This window comes from Homo sapiens, chromosome 20 (assembly GCF_000001405.40).
Source record: "Homo sapiens chromosome 20, GRCh38.p14 Primary Assembly".
In the NCBI taxonomy this organism is placed as follows: Eukaryota; Metazoa; Chordata; class Mammalia; order Primates; family Hominidae; genus Homo; species Homo sapiens.
In genome coordinates, this window is record NC_000020.11 from 35296071 (window position 1) to 35313767 (window position 17697).

At 50.5% G+C, this 17697-nt stretch overlaps 1 protein-coding gene across 9 annotated transcripts in view, besides 4 other annotated features; it reads right to left on the bottom strand.

Annotated features, from left to right (window-relative positions):
- UQCC1 (ubiquinol-cytochrome c reductase complex assembly factor 1) overlaps positions 6508 to 17697 on the bottom strand; it is a 109396-nt gene continuing 98206 nt past the window's right edge. For all 9 annotated transcript variants that reach the window (NM_001184977.2, XM_011528878.3, NM_199487.3 and 6 more), the window contains 2 exons: positions 10596 to 10709; positions 6508 to 7999 (listed from right to left, as the gene is read on the bottom strand). In NM_001184977.2, the coding sequence (NP_001171906.1) occupies positions 7865 to 7999; positions 10596 to 10709 (249 nt within the window). In that variant the 3' untranslated portion in view covers positions 6508 to 7864. The remainder of the gene's footprint in view (positions 8000 to 10595; positions 10710 to 17697) is intronic.
- Positions 8232 to 9052: an enhancer, noted in NCBI's record as "H3K27ac-H3K4me1 hESC enhancer chr20:33892105-33892925 (GRCh37/hg19 assembly coordinates)". NCBI's record gives its function as "activates a minimal SCP1, AML or CMV promoter by ChIP-STARR-seq in primed H9 embryonic stem cells {active_cell/tissue: H9 hESC(primed)}" and the evidence as "EXISTENCE:reporter gene assay evidence [ECO:0000049][PMID:30033119]".
- Positions 9344 to 10543: an enhancer, noted in NCBI's record as "P300/CBP strongly-dependent group 1 enhancer chr20:33893217-33894416 (GRCh37/hg19 assembly coordinates)". NCBI's record gives its function as "activates an origin of replication core promoter dependent on BRD2, BRD4, P300/CBP, MED14 and CDK7 cofactors, with strong dependence on P300/CBP, by STARR-seq in HCT116 cells {active_cell/tissue: HCT116}" and the evidence as "EXISTENCE:reporter gene assay evidence [ECO:0000049][PMID:35650434]".
- Positions 9636 to 9930: an enhancer, noted in NCBI's record as "tiled region #10216; HepG2 Activating DNase matched - State 5:Enh, and K562 Activating DNase unmatched - State 5:Enh". NCBI's record gives its function as "activates a minimal TATA promoter and a strong SV40 promoter by Sharpr-MPRA in HepG2 and K562 cells {active_cell/tissue: HepG2 | K562}" and the evidence as "EXISTENCE:reporter gene assay evidence [ECO:0000049][PMID:27701403]".
- Positions 15468 to 16391: an enhancer, noted in NCBI's record as "H3K27ac hESC enhancer chr20:33899341-33900264 (GRCh37/hg19 assembly coordinates)". NCBI's record gives its function as "activates a minimal SCP1, AML or CMV promoter by ChIP-STARR-seq in naive H9 embryonic stem cells {active_cell/tissue: H9 hESC(naive)}" and the evidence as "EXISTENCE:reporter gene assay evidence [ECO:0000049][PMID:30033119]".

The following is a 17697-nucleotide window of genomic DNA, read 5'->3' on the forward strand; positions in this document are numbered from 1 at the left end:
CCTAGGCAGCCCCTCCCTGTGAGTTGAGTTGGTCAAGGGCAATGGGAGGGCAGACAGGTGGCTCCCGGCATTGGGGCTGGGCCTAGGGGTGGTGGCCAAGGGTGATGGGAGCGTCCAGACAGACCCAAGCCCTGTCCCTGGCTGAGGTATGTCAGGCACAGGCCCCTTAATGACTGTAATTAAGAGGAAGGAAACTGTTTTCCTGTATAGGAGGTGTGTCAGGCGCCTGCCTGGCATCACTCAGCTGTCCTGGAGGCCACTTAGCCTTGTCTATTGTCTCTCACAAGCCAAGCGGCGTCTGGGCAGGCAATGTCATGTAGGGTAGGGGGAGCAGAGGCTGGGTTGCAGCCCTCCAGGTGCAGGCTGCTCTGAGGCCAGTGCTGCCGCATACCTTTCCTCTGGCACCCCGGGTCAGGAGAGACAGGGCTCCCGCAGAGGAGCAGCTGGGACTGTAGGGCCCGGAGTGCCCTACCAGGGATTTGGAGTGCACCCAAATCCCTTGAATCAAGGCAAAGTGGACACATGCTGAAGAGTCCCCGAGGCTGGCTTGAGCCAGGTAGCAAAGGGTGAGAAAGATTTCAGGTGCAGAGGGGTAAGTGGAGTGTTCCTGGCTGGAGAAAGAGGGCAAGGACATGCCCAAGGAAGGCAGGTGGGGGCCGTGGTGCAGGGGAAGATGCTAACAGGAAGGCTAGAGCCGCACTAGGAAGAGCTCGAGGGCCTTCTAAAGTGCTGGGTTCTTACCTAGAGATGATGGCACAAAGGCTGGGAAGACTCCAGAGCATCGTCCTAGGATAACTCAGAAACAGCTCCAATGGCGAGAGTGGGCCAAAGCACCAGAAACAACCCACATTGGTTGAACCCAGTGTGGTTCACTGTTCACTGAGTGTGACACAGGTCTCAGGAGGTCACCATTCCGCACTCTTGTCTCATCCTGATACCCCATGGGCTATTGTGCCACTGGACTGAGTCGACCCCCTGGTAGGAACACAGGCTCTGCCACTTAATGGGGGAGCCGAACAATCACAACTTCTCTGAGTCACAGTGGCTGACTCTGTAGAGTGGGACCCACACTATCTCCTTTACAGGGTTGTCTTGAGGAATATATGGGCTCAGCTACGCCAAGTGCCTGGCTGAGAGCAGCTGTGGTTGCTCAGTACATGCTGAAGTCCAGAGCTTTCCCAGTTGTGAAAGGACAGGGGCTCGATGAAGGCCTGAAAGCTCAGGAAGCCACCGGGGGAGCTCTCCTGGTCAGTCTCTGGTTCCTTCTAGACCAAAGGCTGGTGCCAAGGCCAACACGGTCCCAGCCGAGTCAGTGGGGTGTGGTCTGTCACCACTGCCTCTGAGATCTGGCCTCTCATCACACGCCTGCTCACAGGAGGCGGGGTGTCCATCTGTCTGTCTCCTGCATTTTATTTCTCCATTTGTTTTGAACTTGGGAGGGGAAGAAAGAGGTGCATCTGCTGACTCCTGGAGCCCCGTTATTGAGGCAGCCTCCCCTTCCCACCCCCTCTCCCTCTGTCCAATCCTCCCAGCATGGATTTAGTGTCCACCTTCAGCCGGCAGGTGACCCAAAGATGAGTAAGAGTTTGTCTCTGCCCTGGAGGAGCTCACAGTTCAGTGGGGAAGACAGACTCATAAATAATTATAAACCATGCATTAGGCTGAGGTATAAACCAAGCTCCTGGGGTTTAGAGCCTGGACCTATTGAAGAACCTCAGACGAGCCATGGCCCCACCTCCCGCCCCTTCAAGCAAGGCACAGCGCAGTGGCGGGCCCTCTCCCAAGTGTGAGGTGAATGCTGTTCCTGGCCACAGGGAGAGAAAAAAAGTAAGAGCACCCAGCCCAGGCCCGTGGGTGCTGGTTCCTGACTGAAACCTGCAGTGAGGCCTGGCAGGGCCTCAGCCTCCCCCGTCCAACGCGCTGGCTGGGCGGGAGGTCTCCAGGTGCTTCCGGCGCTACCGCTGTAGTCCATCACTTGTTGACGCCACGGGTTGGTGCTTGGAGGTCCCTTCCTGGAAATTCCCCAGCCAGGGTCTCCAGGATCTTTTCTCCTTGTTCTCCCCTCCACACGGAAAAGGGGAGCCCGTGGCCTGGTCAGGGTCTGGGTCCTAGGCTCACCAACGTCACTCCAGGGAAGTCCCCTGGAAGCTACAGAGAACCTGATGGGGGAGCGGGGAGGGTCGGGGCCAGGGGCCTGAGGTCTGGCCTCCCCCTCTCTAAGGCCAAGCCCAGTGGATAGGGTGGGTGAGGCATGGTAGGTGCAGTGGACAGACTAGAAGTGGGAACCAGAGCAATAGGTACAGGAGGGCTGCTCCCAGGGGAAGCGTTCGAACACCCCTGCCAGCTCCACTTCCCTCCCACTCCACCCCCATAGCTGATAAACTCTAGATCGAGACCAGCTGGCATGAGCTCTCCCTTCCCCCTTAGCCCTCTCCTCAGAAACTCCTTTTCCCCCTATCAGTCCTCCTAATCGCTGGTCTCAGGAAAGGATTCCCTTCACCACCTCCAAAGCCAGGCCCTTGTTCTCAAGATCAGGCTTCCATTTCCAGAGGGATCTCATCGGAGTCCCTAACACTCATGGGAAGTTCCCTACTCCACTAAGTGCTTAGCTCATCAGGGTGCTTCCTGCCCCCAAATACATCTTCAGCACGTTCCTGCAAACCCCCTTGTTTCACCCCCTCTTCCGCCTCCTCCCAGTATCCCTCCATCTCTTCTCAGCATGCTGCTCCGAGTCTCCTTCTGGAAGCTCTCCTCTTCCCTGGGTCCAGTCTACCTTCTGCACTGGTGCCTGCTCTTCCCGCCACCTCCTGTGAATGCTCCTTGCACTCCCAACCCAGTCTCGGGGCTGCCCTCACCTCCGGGAGCTCATCAACTTCAGGATCTCTATACCCAAGACAAAGCCAACATCCTTCGTCCCTGAGGTCCATCCTGAGGTTCGCCAAGGTCCTTCCTCCCCCATGCCCTTGCCCTCCCTGGAGCATCTCTAGCATCTGAAGTCCATCTGCCACCAGACTGGCTCCCCACAGATGCAACCAAGGTGCACCAAAAGCAATGGAGTGGAACCCAGAAAAAATGACTGTTCAGCTTTGCTGCAGGGTCACCTTGCACCAGCAAGCAGATTCTTCTCAGTGCGCCTATTTCCCTATTGCATCATGGGTGCAGCAATCCCTGCCCTGCCCAGCTCATAGGGTGCTGTAAGTTTCACTTGAAAAAACACAACACATGGCCGGGCGCGGTGGCTCACACCTCTAATCCCAGCACTTTGGGAGGCTGAGGCAGGTAGATCACCTGAGGTCAGGAGTTCGAGACCAGCCTAGCCAACATGGTGAAACCCTGTCTCTACTAAAAATACAAAAAAATTTAGCAGGGCTTGGTGGCGGGCACCTGTAATCCTAGCTACTAGGGAGGTTGAGGCAGGAGGATCCCTTGAACCTGGGAGGCGGAGGCTGCAGTGAGCCGAGATCACACCACTGCACTCCAGCCTGGGCAACAGCAGCAAAACTTCATCTCGAAAAAGAAAAAGAAAAAGAAAAAACACAACACAGAGAGGATTCTTCTCCTCCAAAGAGGATCTTCTGCCAGACGTCACCATCTCTGGGCCCCAGTGAGTTCTGTGACTGCACTCTCTTCAGGCTCCACATTAGGCCTCAAGTCCTGATGAGTTTTTTCTCGGAAATGTCTCTGGGGTTTGAGCTTCCCTTTGAATTCCATCTGTCACCCCCGGCATCTCAAGCCCAGATGGCTAAACTCCCTTCCTGACAGAGCCAATCCATCCTGGTACCACTGTCTCTCCACTGCCATCATGCCCCAGTCTTTACCAAGAATGCGCACAGTGGCTTCCTGCTGCCTGGCAGCTGATGTGTGATCTGTGCTACCCCTACTCATGGTCCCACCTGATCTCTGCAACCCTTCCTTCCCTTAGCAGCTAACTCAACAGTTGCTGCAGTCTGAAGAGCTTCCTGTTCTGTGCCTTCAACTGGACAGCTAGTCCTCAATTCCCGTTTTCCTACCTCCTTAAGCCTCACTCTTCACAGCCTGAAGCGGTGGACTGGGTCAGAGCCACCATACAGGGTACATCTGGGCATTCCCCTCCTGGAATATGAGCTTAAGAATCCTCACCTGCAAGGCGGCGAGTGAGGTGACAAGTGAAAATACCAAGCAAGCCTGGCATGGAGGGAAAACTCAAAAGATGCTGGCTGAAGTGCGGCCTGGGCTTCAACCTCAGTTTAAGATTCACCCCGTCTTGTCGTACAGCATTGCTATTTCTCATCGGAAGAAATAGCGATGATTTCTTTTTTCAAATTTTTAGGTAAAACATCAATCTTAGGGGTACTGTTCAGTGTTTCTCATTTGAAAACCTCTATAATACAGTCTTCTCTGAAGAGTAAGGAAGACATATGTTTCTTCTGATGAGTAAGTGTACTTCCTTTTATGTGACAATGGGAACTCTACAACCTTAGGGCTTTCCATTTTCCACCTTTGACCAGGAAGCTCAGAGCAAGGTCTCATACTCAATTGCAAATCTCCTGGCTGACCTGGGGGAGGGAGGCAGGGTGACATGGGGACAAAGCAGGGTCCCCAGGGTCTGTCGTGGGCTGGAGCACTCTTGGCCCCTTCTTATCCTCGATCACTCTTTCTCTAGGCCCCTCTAAGCTTCAGTCCCCTCACTTGTGTTAAAGGGATAATAAAAATGATGAGGGCAATACCTGTTTTACCTGATTGTTGTGAGACAATGCATTTACAGTATTTTATAAAATTTTAAAAAAGTCATATGAAAGTTGCTCATTAGCAGTCCAGGTTTTCCAACATAATTATTTTCCCTCTTTTTCCCTCCCAATACCTGGATCTGATCTTTCAAACTTTAAGGATTTTTTTTTTTTTGAGACAGGGTCTCACTCTGTTGCCCAGGCTGGAGTGTGGTGGCATGATCTCAGCTCACTGCAACCCCCACCTCCTGGGCTCAGGTGATCCTCCTACCTCAGTCTCCTGAGTAGCTGGGACTACAGGCTCATGTCACCACACCCAGCTAACTTTTTGTAGAGACAGGGTCTCACTGTATTGCCCAGGCTGGTCTTGAACTCCTGGACTCAACCAATCCGCCCACTTCGGCCTCCCAAAGTGTTAGGATTACAGGCATGAGCCACTGCACCCAGCCTACAATTTTATTACAAACTGTGTCTCTTAATCTGCTGTGATCTTTTCTGGAAGAATACAGAATACAAATATTAATAAATGACAAAATCATTCCTACAGAGCAGTCTCCCTGAAGGCAAGAAATTGTGTCCTTCACTTGTTTTGTACAATAATGAGTTACACTAGAAAAGCATTTAGCTATGGAAAGAACTTTCCATTTTGGTTCCTATGCTAAGACCAAAGGGAGTGCTCAATATTAAGTCGCTAAAATAAGTGAAACTGTATGGGTCACACTGAGAATGGTCCAGAAGGGGGCTTTTTGGTTGGGGTTGTATTGATAACACTTGGTGATTTAGTCACACATTCATTCTTTCATTTATCCAAGTATACACTGATGCTGATCATGAATCAGGCATTTGGCTGAGCACTGGAAAAACAACAGTGACCAACACAAACACAGTGTCCACTCCACGCTGAGGCAGCTCACAGTACAGTGTAGGAGGTGGGTAAAAAAATCATTTTAACATGGTAAGGTAAGTGTTACCAGGGCTAGGTGTGGAGGCTTATGCCTATAATCCTAGCACTTTGGGAGGGCAAGGTGGGAGGATCAACATAGTGAGAAACTGTCTCTACATAAATAAAAAGGTAAGTGCTCCAGAGCAGAGAACCACGTGGGGAGCAGCACGGATATCGTGACTGTACCTGGAGGGGACAGGAGAGGGAGGGACAAAGGTTCTAGGTAGAGGACACATAGCATGATCTCTCCAGGTAACCCCAAGAGGTTCAGTGTGCTCAGAGAAGAGATGGGTAGACTCATAAAAACAGGAATGGAGGCAGTGGCCAAACCAAGAATAAGGGTAGCCTCCAAGGAACCTGGAATAGATCTTAAGGGGAGGGGGATTGGCAGAGTCAGGGAAAGGTGCTGATGGCCAAGAAGTGAGGGCTCACCAACATCAGACACGATAGATCCAATCTGGCTCCTTCAAAGGCAGCTCCATACTGCAAGTTGCTGTGTTGCACGACGACAAACTCCTGAGCAGACAGGACTAGCTCTGTAGGCAGGGACCATCAGATGCTGGAGGGACTCACCCAGGGCCTGCATGAACACTGGCTGACTGGGATGCTAAGAAGGGGAGTCAGGTTCTGGACCAGGGCTGGACCAAATGACCTTTCAAGTTCCTTCCAAATCTGAGCTTCCAGGATTCTAAAGCAAGCCCGGTAGCTGAACTGGTGCCATGAGCTGGGATCTGTGGCTGGGGAGCTACCCTGGGCAGCAAATGGGTTAAAGCTCAAATAACTTTTATATATGAATTAATGTGTAGAGTTGGGAGCCAAAATCTGTTCCATTAATTTTTCCATCCATTCCAGGAGCAGTTAGGTACACACAGTAAAGTTTATTTTGGTGCATGGTATACTTCACTCCATTAAAAATAAATTAATCAGCAAATTCCTGCCTGGCTCAGCTCTGGTTTATGTAAATAGTGCCCAGCTGTAATGAGTTACAAGGTGTTATTATCTCACACACACACAGGAGGCTTCACTCTAGAGCTCCGCTCGCAACAAAAGCATCTTAAATAAACTGAGAGAAGCGGTTTGATTTGTAATGTTTTCACAGAAGTGGGATATACCTCACCCATATAGAGTTTCTTTATATGACTCATTTTATAGCAAGTTAAATGAAGGAAGTTTGATGGGGGAGGGAGGGGCAATATGGTTCCCCACCCCCTTTCTTCACTTTAAGAAAATCCCCCAAGAGATGACCCGCACTGAGGGAGGAGGGGCTGGTCCTCAGGTGCTCAGACCAAGGTGGCTCTGCAGCACGTGCTTCAGAAGTTGGGAAGGGGGACCAAAGCTGGGCACAGGTCTGGGTCTGCTACAACTAAGCCAGGAGGAATGTTCTCTTCTCCCCAGTATCTCATGAAAGGGGAGGCCAAGACAGGAGACAGCATGTTCCTCATTCAGTTCACTGGGAGTGACAAAGGTGACTTTGTTCTCAAGGCCTCCTTCCAAATGACTTAGGATGTGAAAGCCCTTGGTCATCAGAGGCCTCCTGGGTCCCAGACGACAGGCCTGGCTGGCTGTATCTTGGCCTGAACAGAGACACATCTCCATGAACTAGAGGCAAGAGCAGCAGAGACCATCCCAGCCTCTTCCCTTTCTCCGTCTCTAACTGAGCTGCGCGGTGCCCTCATTACTGCGTCCACCATCTCAGGCAAGTTTCTAAGTCCCTGGAATAAAGAAGGGCCATGGCAGAGAGAAGTCTCTGTTTCTTTTAATGGCCAACTCAACCCCATGGCTGAAAGCCGAGGGACAACGCGTGGTCACCGACCGGACTCGGCAGCATTACAATCTGCTCCTAGGCCACAGCAGGCCCTGGGGGGTTTCCCTTTTGAACCTACACCATCCCTTCCTTGGCCTTTGGGAAAAGCTATCAGTCACATGTAGTTGCTGGAGGGGGTTGGGGAGTGTGTGCTGGGGGACTCTCACTCGGGGCTTCCCCTAAGGGAGAGGACACCCCGGGAGAGCTAGGGGTTCTCCCAGCCCTGTACCCCAGCAGATCAGACTCCTGGGCACACTAAGAGGAAACTCAACACAAATGGGGCCAGGTATTTGACAGATGCTGTTCAGAGGTCAGTTCAGGCCACTTTCTGCAGGGTCCTGGACCAACAGGCACTTCTCTCCTGGAGGTTCCTCGAAGCCAGCTGGCGGGCCGTGCGGAGGGCCCAGCCCATCAAAGTCCCTCGTCGTTGTAAGTCGGAGAATGGGGCTTCAGGATGCTCTGAGGATTCTTCTCCACTAGAGGGCGCCAGCTCACCTCCCCTGTCAGAAGCAGATCCTCCCCGTTCATGGAGTCCAGGTACTGTATCTGCAACCAGGGGAGGGGGAAGGAGGAAGCGACAGAGGCAGGGCAGAGGTGAGGAGCCAGCGTCAGGAACCAGCCTCCCAGAGGAGAGGAAGGAAGGGGACGGGGCATGAGGGGGGCTTCTGACCATCCCAGGTCCCAGACCAAGCCGTCCCAGGCCAAGCCGTCTCTGATCTCCTAGATAATTTCACTAAGGTGGTTCAGAGAAAGCAGTCACTGGGGAGCTGGGTGGCGGGGGCAGTTAGGGAATTCCCTATCACACCTCTGAATGGAGACAGACACACACCTCCCAAGGACACGTCTCCCCTACACGCCCTCCCTAGACAGCTCCTGCAGGCCAGGAAGTCAGGGCTTGCAGCGCACACAGCCATGCTGTCCACCCCAGCACTGCTGGGTGAGAGTCCTGATTCTGTCCCTTCCCAGTGCTGCTACCCAGGGTGGCAGCTTCCCCTCTCTGAGATTTAAGTTCCCTTGTCTTGAGAGAGGGGATAGAAACAGGTACCTCACAGGACACATGAAGAGATTCAACAATATGCATATATGCAGTGCTAGGCACTCACGCTTTAAACATATGTATGCCTCTGTTGTCCTCTAGTGGGCCCCTGGTCAGTGGGCCCCAGTATCACCTCTCTAGGACAGTAGGGGCAGACAGCTCTGCCATTAAAATGGTCATCATCCAGAGAAGCCACTGCTGCAGGGCCAGGAGACTTCATCTTAGGCTTTAGGTCATTCCCCCTTCCAAGAATCCACCACTCTGGTTGCTTCCGCTTCCAGCTGCTGACGCTTGAACTCAACCCCAGCCTCTCGCACGTGTCTTGGCTCTGGATTCCCACCTGCCCTGCCATCTCTTCCCTAAAGCCCACTCCTCCCTTACAGTGACTCCATTTCTGCCCCCAGTGCCACCCCTCTGCCCACCTCCTGGGTTGAAAATCTCAACAGAACCTCTGGTTGGCTCTTGGGCCATCGGCCACACCAAACAGTCTGCTCAAGGCCCAGCTCCTGCTCTTCCTTTCCCGGCCTTCAGCACTCTGCCCTCCCTGTATCACATAACAGGCTGGCTTACTCCAGGGTTAGCCGTGTGCCTGGGCTTCCTCACCAAACCATGAGCTGGCTCCTCGAGGGCAGGACTGGGTCTTATTAATCGTTGCTTTCCCAAGAGTACATGGAGCAGCAGGTGCTCAAAAGGTTTGCTGATAGAACTGGGTCCCCACCAAAGCTCCCTGCTTTCCCAAGAACCCCTTCACGGTTTTTCCACTGCCTCTCACTGGGGCCACATGGGACCTCTTGTAGGGACAATGGTTGTGGCAGCCCCTTCCTAGAGGGCCCTCGGAGAAGTCCCAGTGTGTCTTGTTGGGGCTTCTGGCACAAGCCCACCATGGCAGATGGAAATGTTGGGCAGGTCTCTCAGAAAACACAGCATTTGCTTTGCGAATTGCTACTCCCGTCTGAGGGTGAGTCCAGTCAACAGAGTATCAGAATTCTCTGTGAGTGGGGCCCTCTGGCCATGCCGTGCCCTCTCCCTGGCTCTAGCAGATTTGAAGAGTGGTCAAACAGAAGTCCTGGCTCCTGGGATTCTCTACCCTGTGGGTCTGCAGAGCCCCAGTATGTGGTTTTTCCAGCAGTTAACAAGCTAGTCCTATGGGCCCTGTCTTCTCAAGAGCTGAAGTCCAGCCTTGCCTTTCCTGGTTGTTGAAGACCATGAATACAAGTGAACAAGAGAGTAACTGTGGCGTGACACCCCTTCAGCTCCAGGGGCCAGGCCATGAAGCAAAGGTGTGACTCATGGCACAGCCTGAGCTGTCTGAGGCAGCTGAGGCCTCAGTGGTCACATGAATCACACAGCTTGGGGCCCTAGGGCAGCTGTGCAGGCTGACTCACTGGGAGGCCCTGGAAGAGCCTCTATGTCCTCTTCGCTGCCAGTCAGCTCACTCATCTATCAAGTATGAGTTTCCCATCAATACAGGATCTGAGGGCAGGGAGGTCAAGGAATTAATTCCCCGGGGCTTGAGGACAGCTATGTGGGTAAGCAGCCCCCACTGCGGAGCTTTCTCGTAGAAGCTTTGATGTCGGGGAGCCCTGGGGAGCCAGAGGGGTGAGAAACTGAAGTGGGGGGACTCTACTTGACTGTGGAGAGCATCTAGCAGGAAGAGGCTGTCTGTGAAATGCTGCCTGCTGCCCAGTTTTGCTGGAAGTCAGGAGCAGGAAACAAATCCAAGTGGGTAGAGAAGGGGTCCACAGTGGGCAGCTGCTACTACACCACGTGCTCATATCTGCCAGGACTCTGTGGGCCCAGCTGCTAGCATAGCACTGGGCGCACAGTAGGCAATGAGGTGCACAGTGAATGAATGACTCAAAGTTCCTGAGGGCAGGAGACTACTCGATGCCTCTTTCTCTCTCTCTTCCCATTTCCCGCTCCCTGGCCCAGTTCATGGTTGGACATACAGAAGGCGCTCCTTCTTCAGCGTCTAGTGCTGATGTGATCTGGTCAGAATTCTCTCAGGCTGGTCCTTGGTAACTCCACCTCTCATGATCCCCTGAAAGCCCAAGAGGAGGACCCACTGTTGCCAGGACTTGGGAGGGGAGGGAAAGGGTCACTCACCTGTTTCCTCACATACTCTACCAGCAATTCAAGATGTCGAGGGTCTTCACATTTCCGGTTGAAGAAGGTTCTCCAGAGGGCAGCGGCCAGCCCATGATCATCTGAAAGGATCCCCTGGAACATACAGCACAGCAGTGGTCTCCTGAGGGATCCACAGAGCCAGGACACAGACGGTGGGGATACTATGAACATGCTAGCAACCATGGAATCAGCTCAGAAGGGCCCTCCACGCACAAGAGGAAAATGGGGCAGTCACACAGTAGAGGTGGAAGGGGTCTTACAAGGGTATCTGGCCCAATCCCTTCATTTTATTACATACAGAGGGAGAACAGGGGGTCCAGAGGGGCCAAGCCACCAGTTAGGTGATGCAGAGCTGGGACTCAGGCAGTACTCCGTACTGCGCCTGGCCCAGGCAACACTTGAGAGGCTGAGAAGAGAAACAGTAGCAGCAATGCTCCCCCTGCTGTCCATAGCAGCAATGCTCCCCCTGCTGTCCACAGGGCACGGGCTGGGAATATTGTGAATGTATGTTTCTCCCAGGAATGGAGGTGGGCATGGACTGTGCCTTCTTGCTTGGTCCAAGGACCAAGGCAAGGCAACTGGTCCTTGGGGGAAGGGAGCCAGCTACCTTGTCTTCACTCTTACCCAACTCTGGGCCCAGCCTCTCCCTAAGTAGGGGAACAGGATGTTCAGCAGGATTGCTGGGGCCACAGAGGGCCAGGCTCAGAGCTTGCATGTGTGTGTGTGCCTAACGCTGCCTCTTTTGGCAGAGGAGACTTCTGTTGGGAAGCTTAAAGATTACAGAGCAAAATAAGAGCCCCAGCCACCAGCTAAGGACATTTTCTAGCTTGGACCTCTAGAGGAGGGAGGGCTGAGAGTCTTGCTTCCTGGGGTGAAGGTGGCTGATGGAACAGGCCCTGAGAAGTTGCTCTGTCCAGGTGCCAAGGTAGTGTGTGGAATCGATGTGCTGACTTGGAGTTAGAAGGGAGATCAAGTCCTAATTCCACCTCTGCCAAGATCAGTGATGGTGGCAGCTGACTAAACCAAAGTCTCAATCTTCTACTTCTTCAAAACAGATGAAGTTACCTGCTCTACTTATAGCATTCTTGAACTATTTGTTAAGTGTAATCTGTTGGATACAAAGATTAGGAGCATGCTTTGGCAGACAGCGGGGATACAGTCAAAACCGTGGGGTCTGGGAGCCAGAGCACAGAGTTCGAATGCCAGCTGTGTCACTTGATGGCCATGCGGCCTTTAAGAAGCTATTAGCCATTCCTGAGCCTCAGTTTTTCATGAGTCAAACAAGCCTAATAATACCTATCCCACAGAGTTGCTGTGAGAATTAAGAGATACTGGCCATGAATGGCTCTGTAAGTGGTAAACATTACCCAAAGACCCAGGATCACTTTATTCGACATTTTATTGTGGTCTGTCCTCTTGGGCATTGTGGTATGTGAGGTCTGGCTCCAGGCCTGCTGCCAACAAGGGCCATGTCCAGTATGGGGTGCTGACAGTTTGGTAGAAAAACATTCCACCTGTTCCAAATGCTCTCTGATAAACCCTCCTTACGGTTCCACAGCTTAGGACTGTCCTGGCACAATGGCTGAGTCAGGAAAACTGGCTTTTTCTGGCACATGGGGACAGGAGCAGAGGACAAGCTCAGGCACATCACCCTTCTGCAAACGATTTGCTAGCACAACAGCGTGCCTGTGTCTGCTGTGCCTGGGCACATGCCAGAGCGCTGCTGGCAGCAACCCACATGTGCTGTGCAGAAAGGAATGGGATTGGGAGCGCGTGTTATGGGGACCTGGAGAATGGGCAGAGCCCAGGATGGGAAAACAGGCAACTTTAGCAGCGGGTGAGATGGCTGGGAAGGGGCAAATTCATAATCAGGAATTCCTGAGCCATCAGAAGGAAAAGGATGACTCAGGACCCACTAATAGTGAGAACAACCCAACTGTTTCAGACTGTTAGGGTTCCCTCACACGCCTAGCTCCTAATGATTATGTTTGCCAAGTAGAATAGATATTATATTCCCATTTGCTTTGCTTTGTTTTGTTTTGTTTTGAGATGAAGTCTCACTCTGTCACCCAGGCTGAAGTGCAGTGGCATGATCTTGGCTCAATGCAACCTCTGCCTCCCAAGTTCAAGTGATTCTCTTGCCTCAGCCTCCCAAGTAGCTGGGACTACGGGCATGTGCCATCACACCCGGCTAATTTTTTGTATTTTTAGTAGAGACAGGGTTTCACCATGTTGGCCAGGGTGGTCTCGAACTCCTGACCTCAAGTGATCTGCCTGCTTCGGCCTCCCAAGTGCTGGGATTACAGGCGTGAGCCACCGCACCTGGCCTATATCCCCATTTGAAAGATAAGTAAACTGAGGCTTAGAGGCTAGCTAACTGATGGCTGAACTAGAACCAGCATGCATTGATGAGGTGGGGGATGATGACTGACCCACTCTAGTCAGAATACAGAACCTGGCATAGAGTGGGAGAGCAATCAGAATGGCTGAATACCCAGCACTTTGGGAGTCCAAGCTGGGTGGATCACTTGAGCCCAGGAGTTCAAGACCAGCCTGGACAACATGGCGAAACTGTTTCCACAAAAAAATATAAAAATTAGCCAGGCATGGTGGCACACAAGTGTAGTCCCAGCTACTCGGGAGGATGAGGTGGGATGATCACCTGGGCCTGGGGAGGTTGAGGATACAGTGAGCTGTGATCACACTGCTGCACTCCAGCCTGGGCAACAGAGTGAGACCCTGTCTTAGGAAAAAAAAAAAGAATAGCTGAATAAATCAACGAACACAACTTCAGCCTTCTTCCCACCACACTGCTAGTGTAAGGCAGTGAAAACAAATGAGAGACTAATCTGAGGGTGCACATTTCAAACTAAGAAAGCAGAACTGGAAGAAGGGTCCTGGGAACCAAACATGAGGGCACAGCATAATTTCCCCCCAATCTAATCGGGTGCCTACTTGTTTTCCCTCGTGACACAATGAAGCATCCTTCAGAAATTAAGACACCTAGGTCTAGAGTAACTGAGAGGAAGCCAAGGGGATTGTTTCAGCTTTGGAGGGTTCTAGTTCTGATTAAGGGTTTAAAGTGGCAGAGTTCCACTCAGTGAAGATTGATTTGACATCACTATGTGCTCAGCATGATGCTAGGAACACAAGAGTCACAGCAATATGGTCTGAGCTCTCAGGGAACTTGCAATCTAGCTGAAGGGACAAAATCAGTGCACATCTAACAGCAGCACAGAGTAAAATCCCGGAGAATGAACACATGCCAAGCTGCACAGTGAGACTCAGCTACACTCTACATGGCTGCCTCCTTGTTCTACAGTCTTAGCTTTTATGACAACTCCTCAGAGAGATCTTCCTGGTCCACATCAAGTCATTCCCCCTGTTGTTCTCTCTCACTGCACTCTACTGTAGTTAGATATTTACTGCTTATCTGCTACTTGTTTACTATGTCTCTCAATTAGAAGGTAAGCTCTAGTGGGAAAGAGCCAGACCGTGTTTGTTTTATTCACCAATATATTCCCATGTATCACACATGGTAGACACTCAAAAGCTACCTGTTAAATGGATAATGAATAGATGGATGGGTGTGGAAATTCACAGTAAAAACACAAGCGATCCAGAGAGGTCAGGGAAACCTTTCTGAAGAAGTAGGCCTTTAAGAATTGGGAGGATTTAGCGGGTGTGGTGGCTCACGCCTGTAATCCCAGCACTTTGGGAGGCCGAGGTGGGTGGATCACGAGGTCAAGAGATCGAGACCATCCTGGGCAACGTGGTGAAACCCTGTCTCTACGAAAAATACAAAAAAAATTAGTCAAGCATGGTGGCGCCTGCCTCTAGTCCCAGCTACTCAGGAGGCTGAGGCAGGAGAATCCCTTAAACCCGGGAGGTGGAGGTTGCAGTAAGCTGAGATTGTGCCACTGCACTCCAGCCTGGCAACAGAGTGAGACTCTGTCTCAAAAAAAAAAAAAAAAAAAAAAAATTGGGAAGATTTGGAAAGCTGCAGATTTTTTTTTTTTTTTTTGAGATGGAGTCTCGCTCTGTCACCCAGGCTGGAGTGCAGTAGCGTGATCTCAGCTCACTGCAAGCTCCACCTCCTGGGTTCATGCCATTCTCCTGCCTCAGCCTCCCGAGTAGCTGGGACTACAGGCGCCCACCACCATGCCGGGCTAATTTTTTTTTTTTTTTTTTTCAGTAGAGACGGGGTTTCACCATGTTGGTCAGGCTGGTCTCGAACTCTTGGCCTCGTGATCTATCCACCTCGGCCTCCCAAAGTGCTGGGATTACAGGCGTGAGCCACTGTGCCTGGCCAGCTGCAGATTATTCTAAGCAAGAGAAAATATTCAAAATATTTACAGAGGGAGTGCCTACAAGGTACACCAGGCCCTGAACCAGACCCTAAAGCTGACCAAGACTCAGCTACTGCCCTCAACCCCTCATTGTTAGGTAGAGTCTCAGTCAGGCACAGCATGTCTATAGGGCAGTAAGGCAAACGGCCTAAGAGAGAGCACAAGAAATATAAAGGCAGATAGGGCACATAGCAATGGCAACAGTTCACAGAAGGCCTGGAAGTTCAGGGAGCAATTTGGACCTAATGTCACAGAAAACAGGGAGGTTCCCAAAGCGTCCAGGGAGGGGGAACAATCCAAGCAAGATTCTAGGAAAAGGTTGCTGTAGAACAGCGCTGTCCAATAGAACTTTTTGTGACTATGGAACTGTTCTGTATCTGCACTGTCCAAGATGGTAGTCACATATAGTAACTGAGTACCTGAGGATCTGAATTTTCCATTTTATTTAATTAATTTAAATTAAAATAGCTGCATGTGTTTAGTATCAAATAGCTCTAGCACCTTGTGACTCCAAGTGTGGTCTGCAAAATGGCTGCACCCCCATCACGTGCAGCTGTTAGCAATGCAGAATCTCAGGCCCCGCCCCAGACTTGCTGAGTCAGAATCTGAATTGTACCTAGGTCCTCTAGGTGACTCACATGCACATTAAAATACAGGAAAAACTTCTAGAATTGCACATTAAAATCACCTGGGAACTTTTACAACTACAGATGTCCACCTCCACCAATTAAATCAGAATCTTTGGGGGACAGGGCCCAGACACTGATATTTCTAAAAAGTGTCCCAGGTAATTAGTATATTTCCCCAAAATTTCCTGCTCTTAAAAGTCACCTTCGGGTGACTTGTTGAACCACCAGGCAGCACTCCTACTGAATTGTAATCTTCAGAGAGGTGATAAAGATTTAGATTTTAAAAGCACCCCAGGTGACTCCTGTGGTCAGGCACAGTTGGGTAAAATGGCTCTGCCAGAATGGACTGGATGGGGGACCGGAAACAAACACAATTCGGTACATTTTTATTAATACTGATGAAAGGATCGACTGAGCCAATAGAGCCACCTGCAATAAAGACCATAAACAAAGGCTCACAGAGAGGTGTAGTTCTTCACTCCTAAGCCTCATCCTTTTCTATATTGTAAGGCTTCTACAATTACAATTCGTCCACTTTTATAATTGATATGTACACTTGAGCAATAATTCTCAATTCCCAACCCATAACCCCCGAAAGCTCATGTTAAGTTAATGATGTGTATAGTATGCAATGTAAATGCTCCCTTGTAATTCAGGATATCCAGTAGAATAGGAATCAGGAGACCCTATTTTAACAAAAGTTAAGAAACTGAACTCCAGTTTCTTAACTTTTGTCCTTTTATGCATTTCTCACTCTTTGACTACCACATGCCAAGCACTATGCCAGGCCACAGAAATGCAAACACAGTAGGCATTGCACTACCCAAAAAGAAATCCCCACCCAGCCAAGGTGACAGATAATGTGAATGTAGTAAGCACTGTGAGAGTGCAGGGAGGATGGAATGAGCTGAGTCACAGGAAGTTCAGGAACCGCTTCCCAGGAGGGGTCATGCTTGCATTAAATCTGGAGGTAACCACAAAATCAGTATAAAAGCATATGGTTAGTTTAAAATATCAGGTGTTCATTACACCATTCTTTCTACATGCTTGAAATCTCCACAATAAATGTTGGGGAGAAAAAAGATGAGATAGATGAACCTCGAGGGCATTATGTTAAGTGAAATAAGTCAGTCACAAAAGGTCAAAAATTGTGTGATTCTACTTATATGAATTATCTACAGTAGTCAAATTCATAGAGACATAAAGTCAAATGAATGGTGGTTGCTAGGGGATATGAGGGAAGGAGGGAATAATTATTGTTCAATAGGGACAGAGTTTCAGTTTGGAAGATGGAAAAGCTCTGGAGATGAATGGTGGTGACGGTGCAAAGCAATGGGAATGTACTTTATGCTACTAAACTGTACACTTAAAAATAGTTAAAATGGTACATTTTATGATATGTATATTTTACAATTTTTTTAAAAAGATGAGGCCAGGCGTGGTGGCTCACGCCTGTAATCCCAGCACTTTGGGAGGCCGAGGCGGGCAGATCACAAGGTCAGGAGATCGAGACCATCCTGGCTAACACGGTGAAACCCTGTCTCTACTAAAAATACAAAAAATTAGCCGGGTGTGGTGGCAGGCGCCTGTAGTCCCAGCTACTCAGGAGGCTGAGGCAGAAGAATGGCGTGAACCTGGGAGGTGGAGCTTGTGGTAAGTAGAGATCGCGCCACTGCACTCCAGCCTGGGTGACAGAGCAAGACTCTGTCTAAAAAAAAAAAAAAAAAAAAAAAAAGATGAGATAGATCCAAATGTCCTGATGTGGAAGGACACCCAAGATACATACTTCAGTGAAAAAAGCAAGTTGCAGAATCATGTGTCTAGTGTAACTCCAGTTGCATAAAGAAGGAAAAGACAAAGGTGCTTGTCTATGCACAGACAACATTCGGAAGGACATCCAATAAACTAGAAATTAAGTTTTCGTCTGGAGCAGGGTAGGAAATAGGTCTTCTAATTTCATTTTTTTTGAGACCAAGTCTCATTCTGTTGCCCAGGCTGGAGTGCAGTGGCGCAATCTCAGCTCACTGCAGTCTCCGCCTCCCAGGTTCAAGAGACTCCGCCTCTCATGCCTCACCTTCCCAAGCAGGTGGGATTACAGGCACA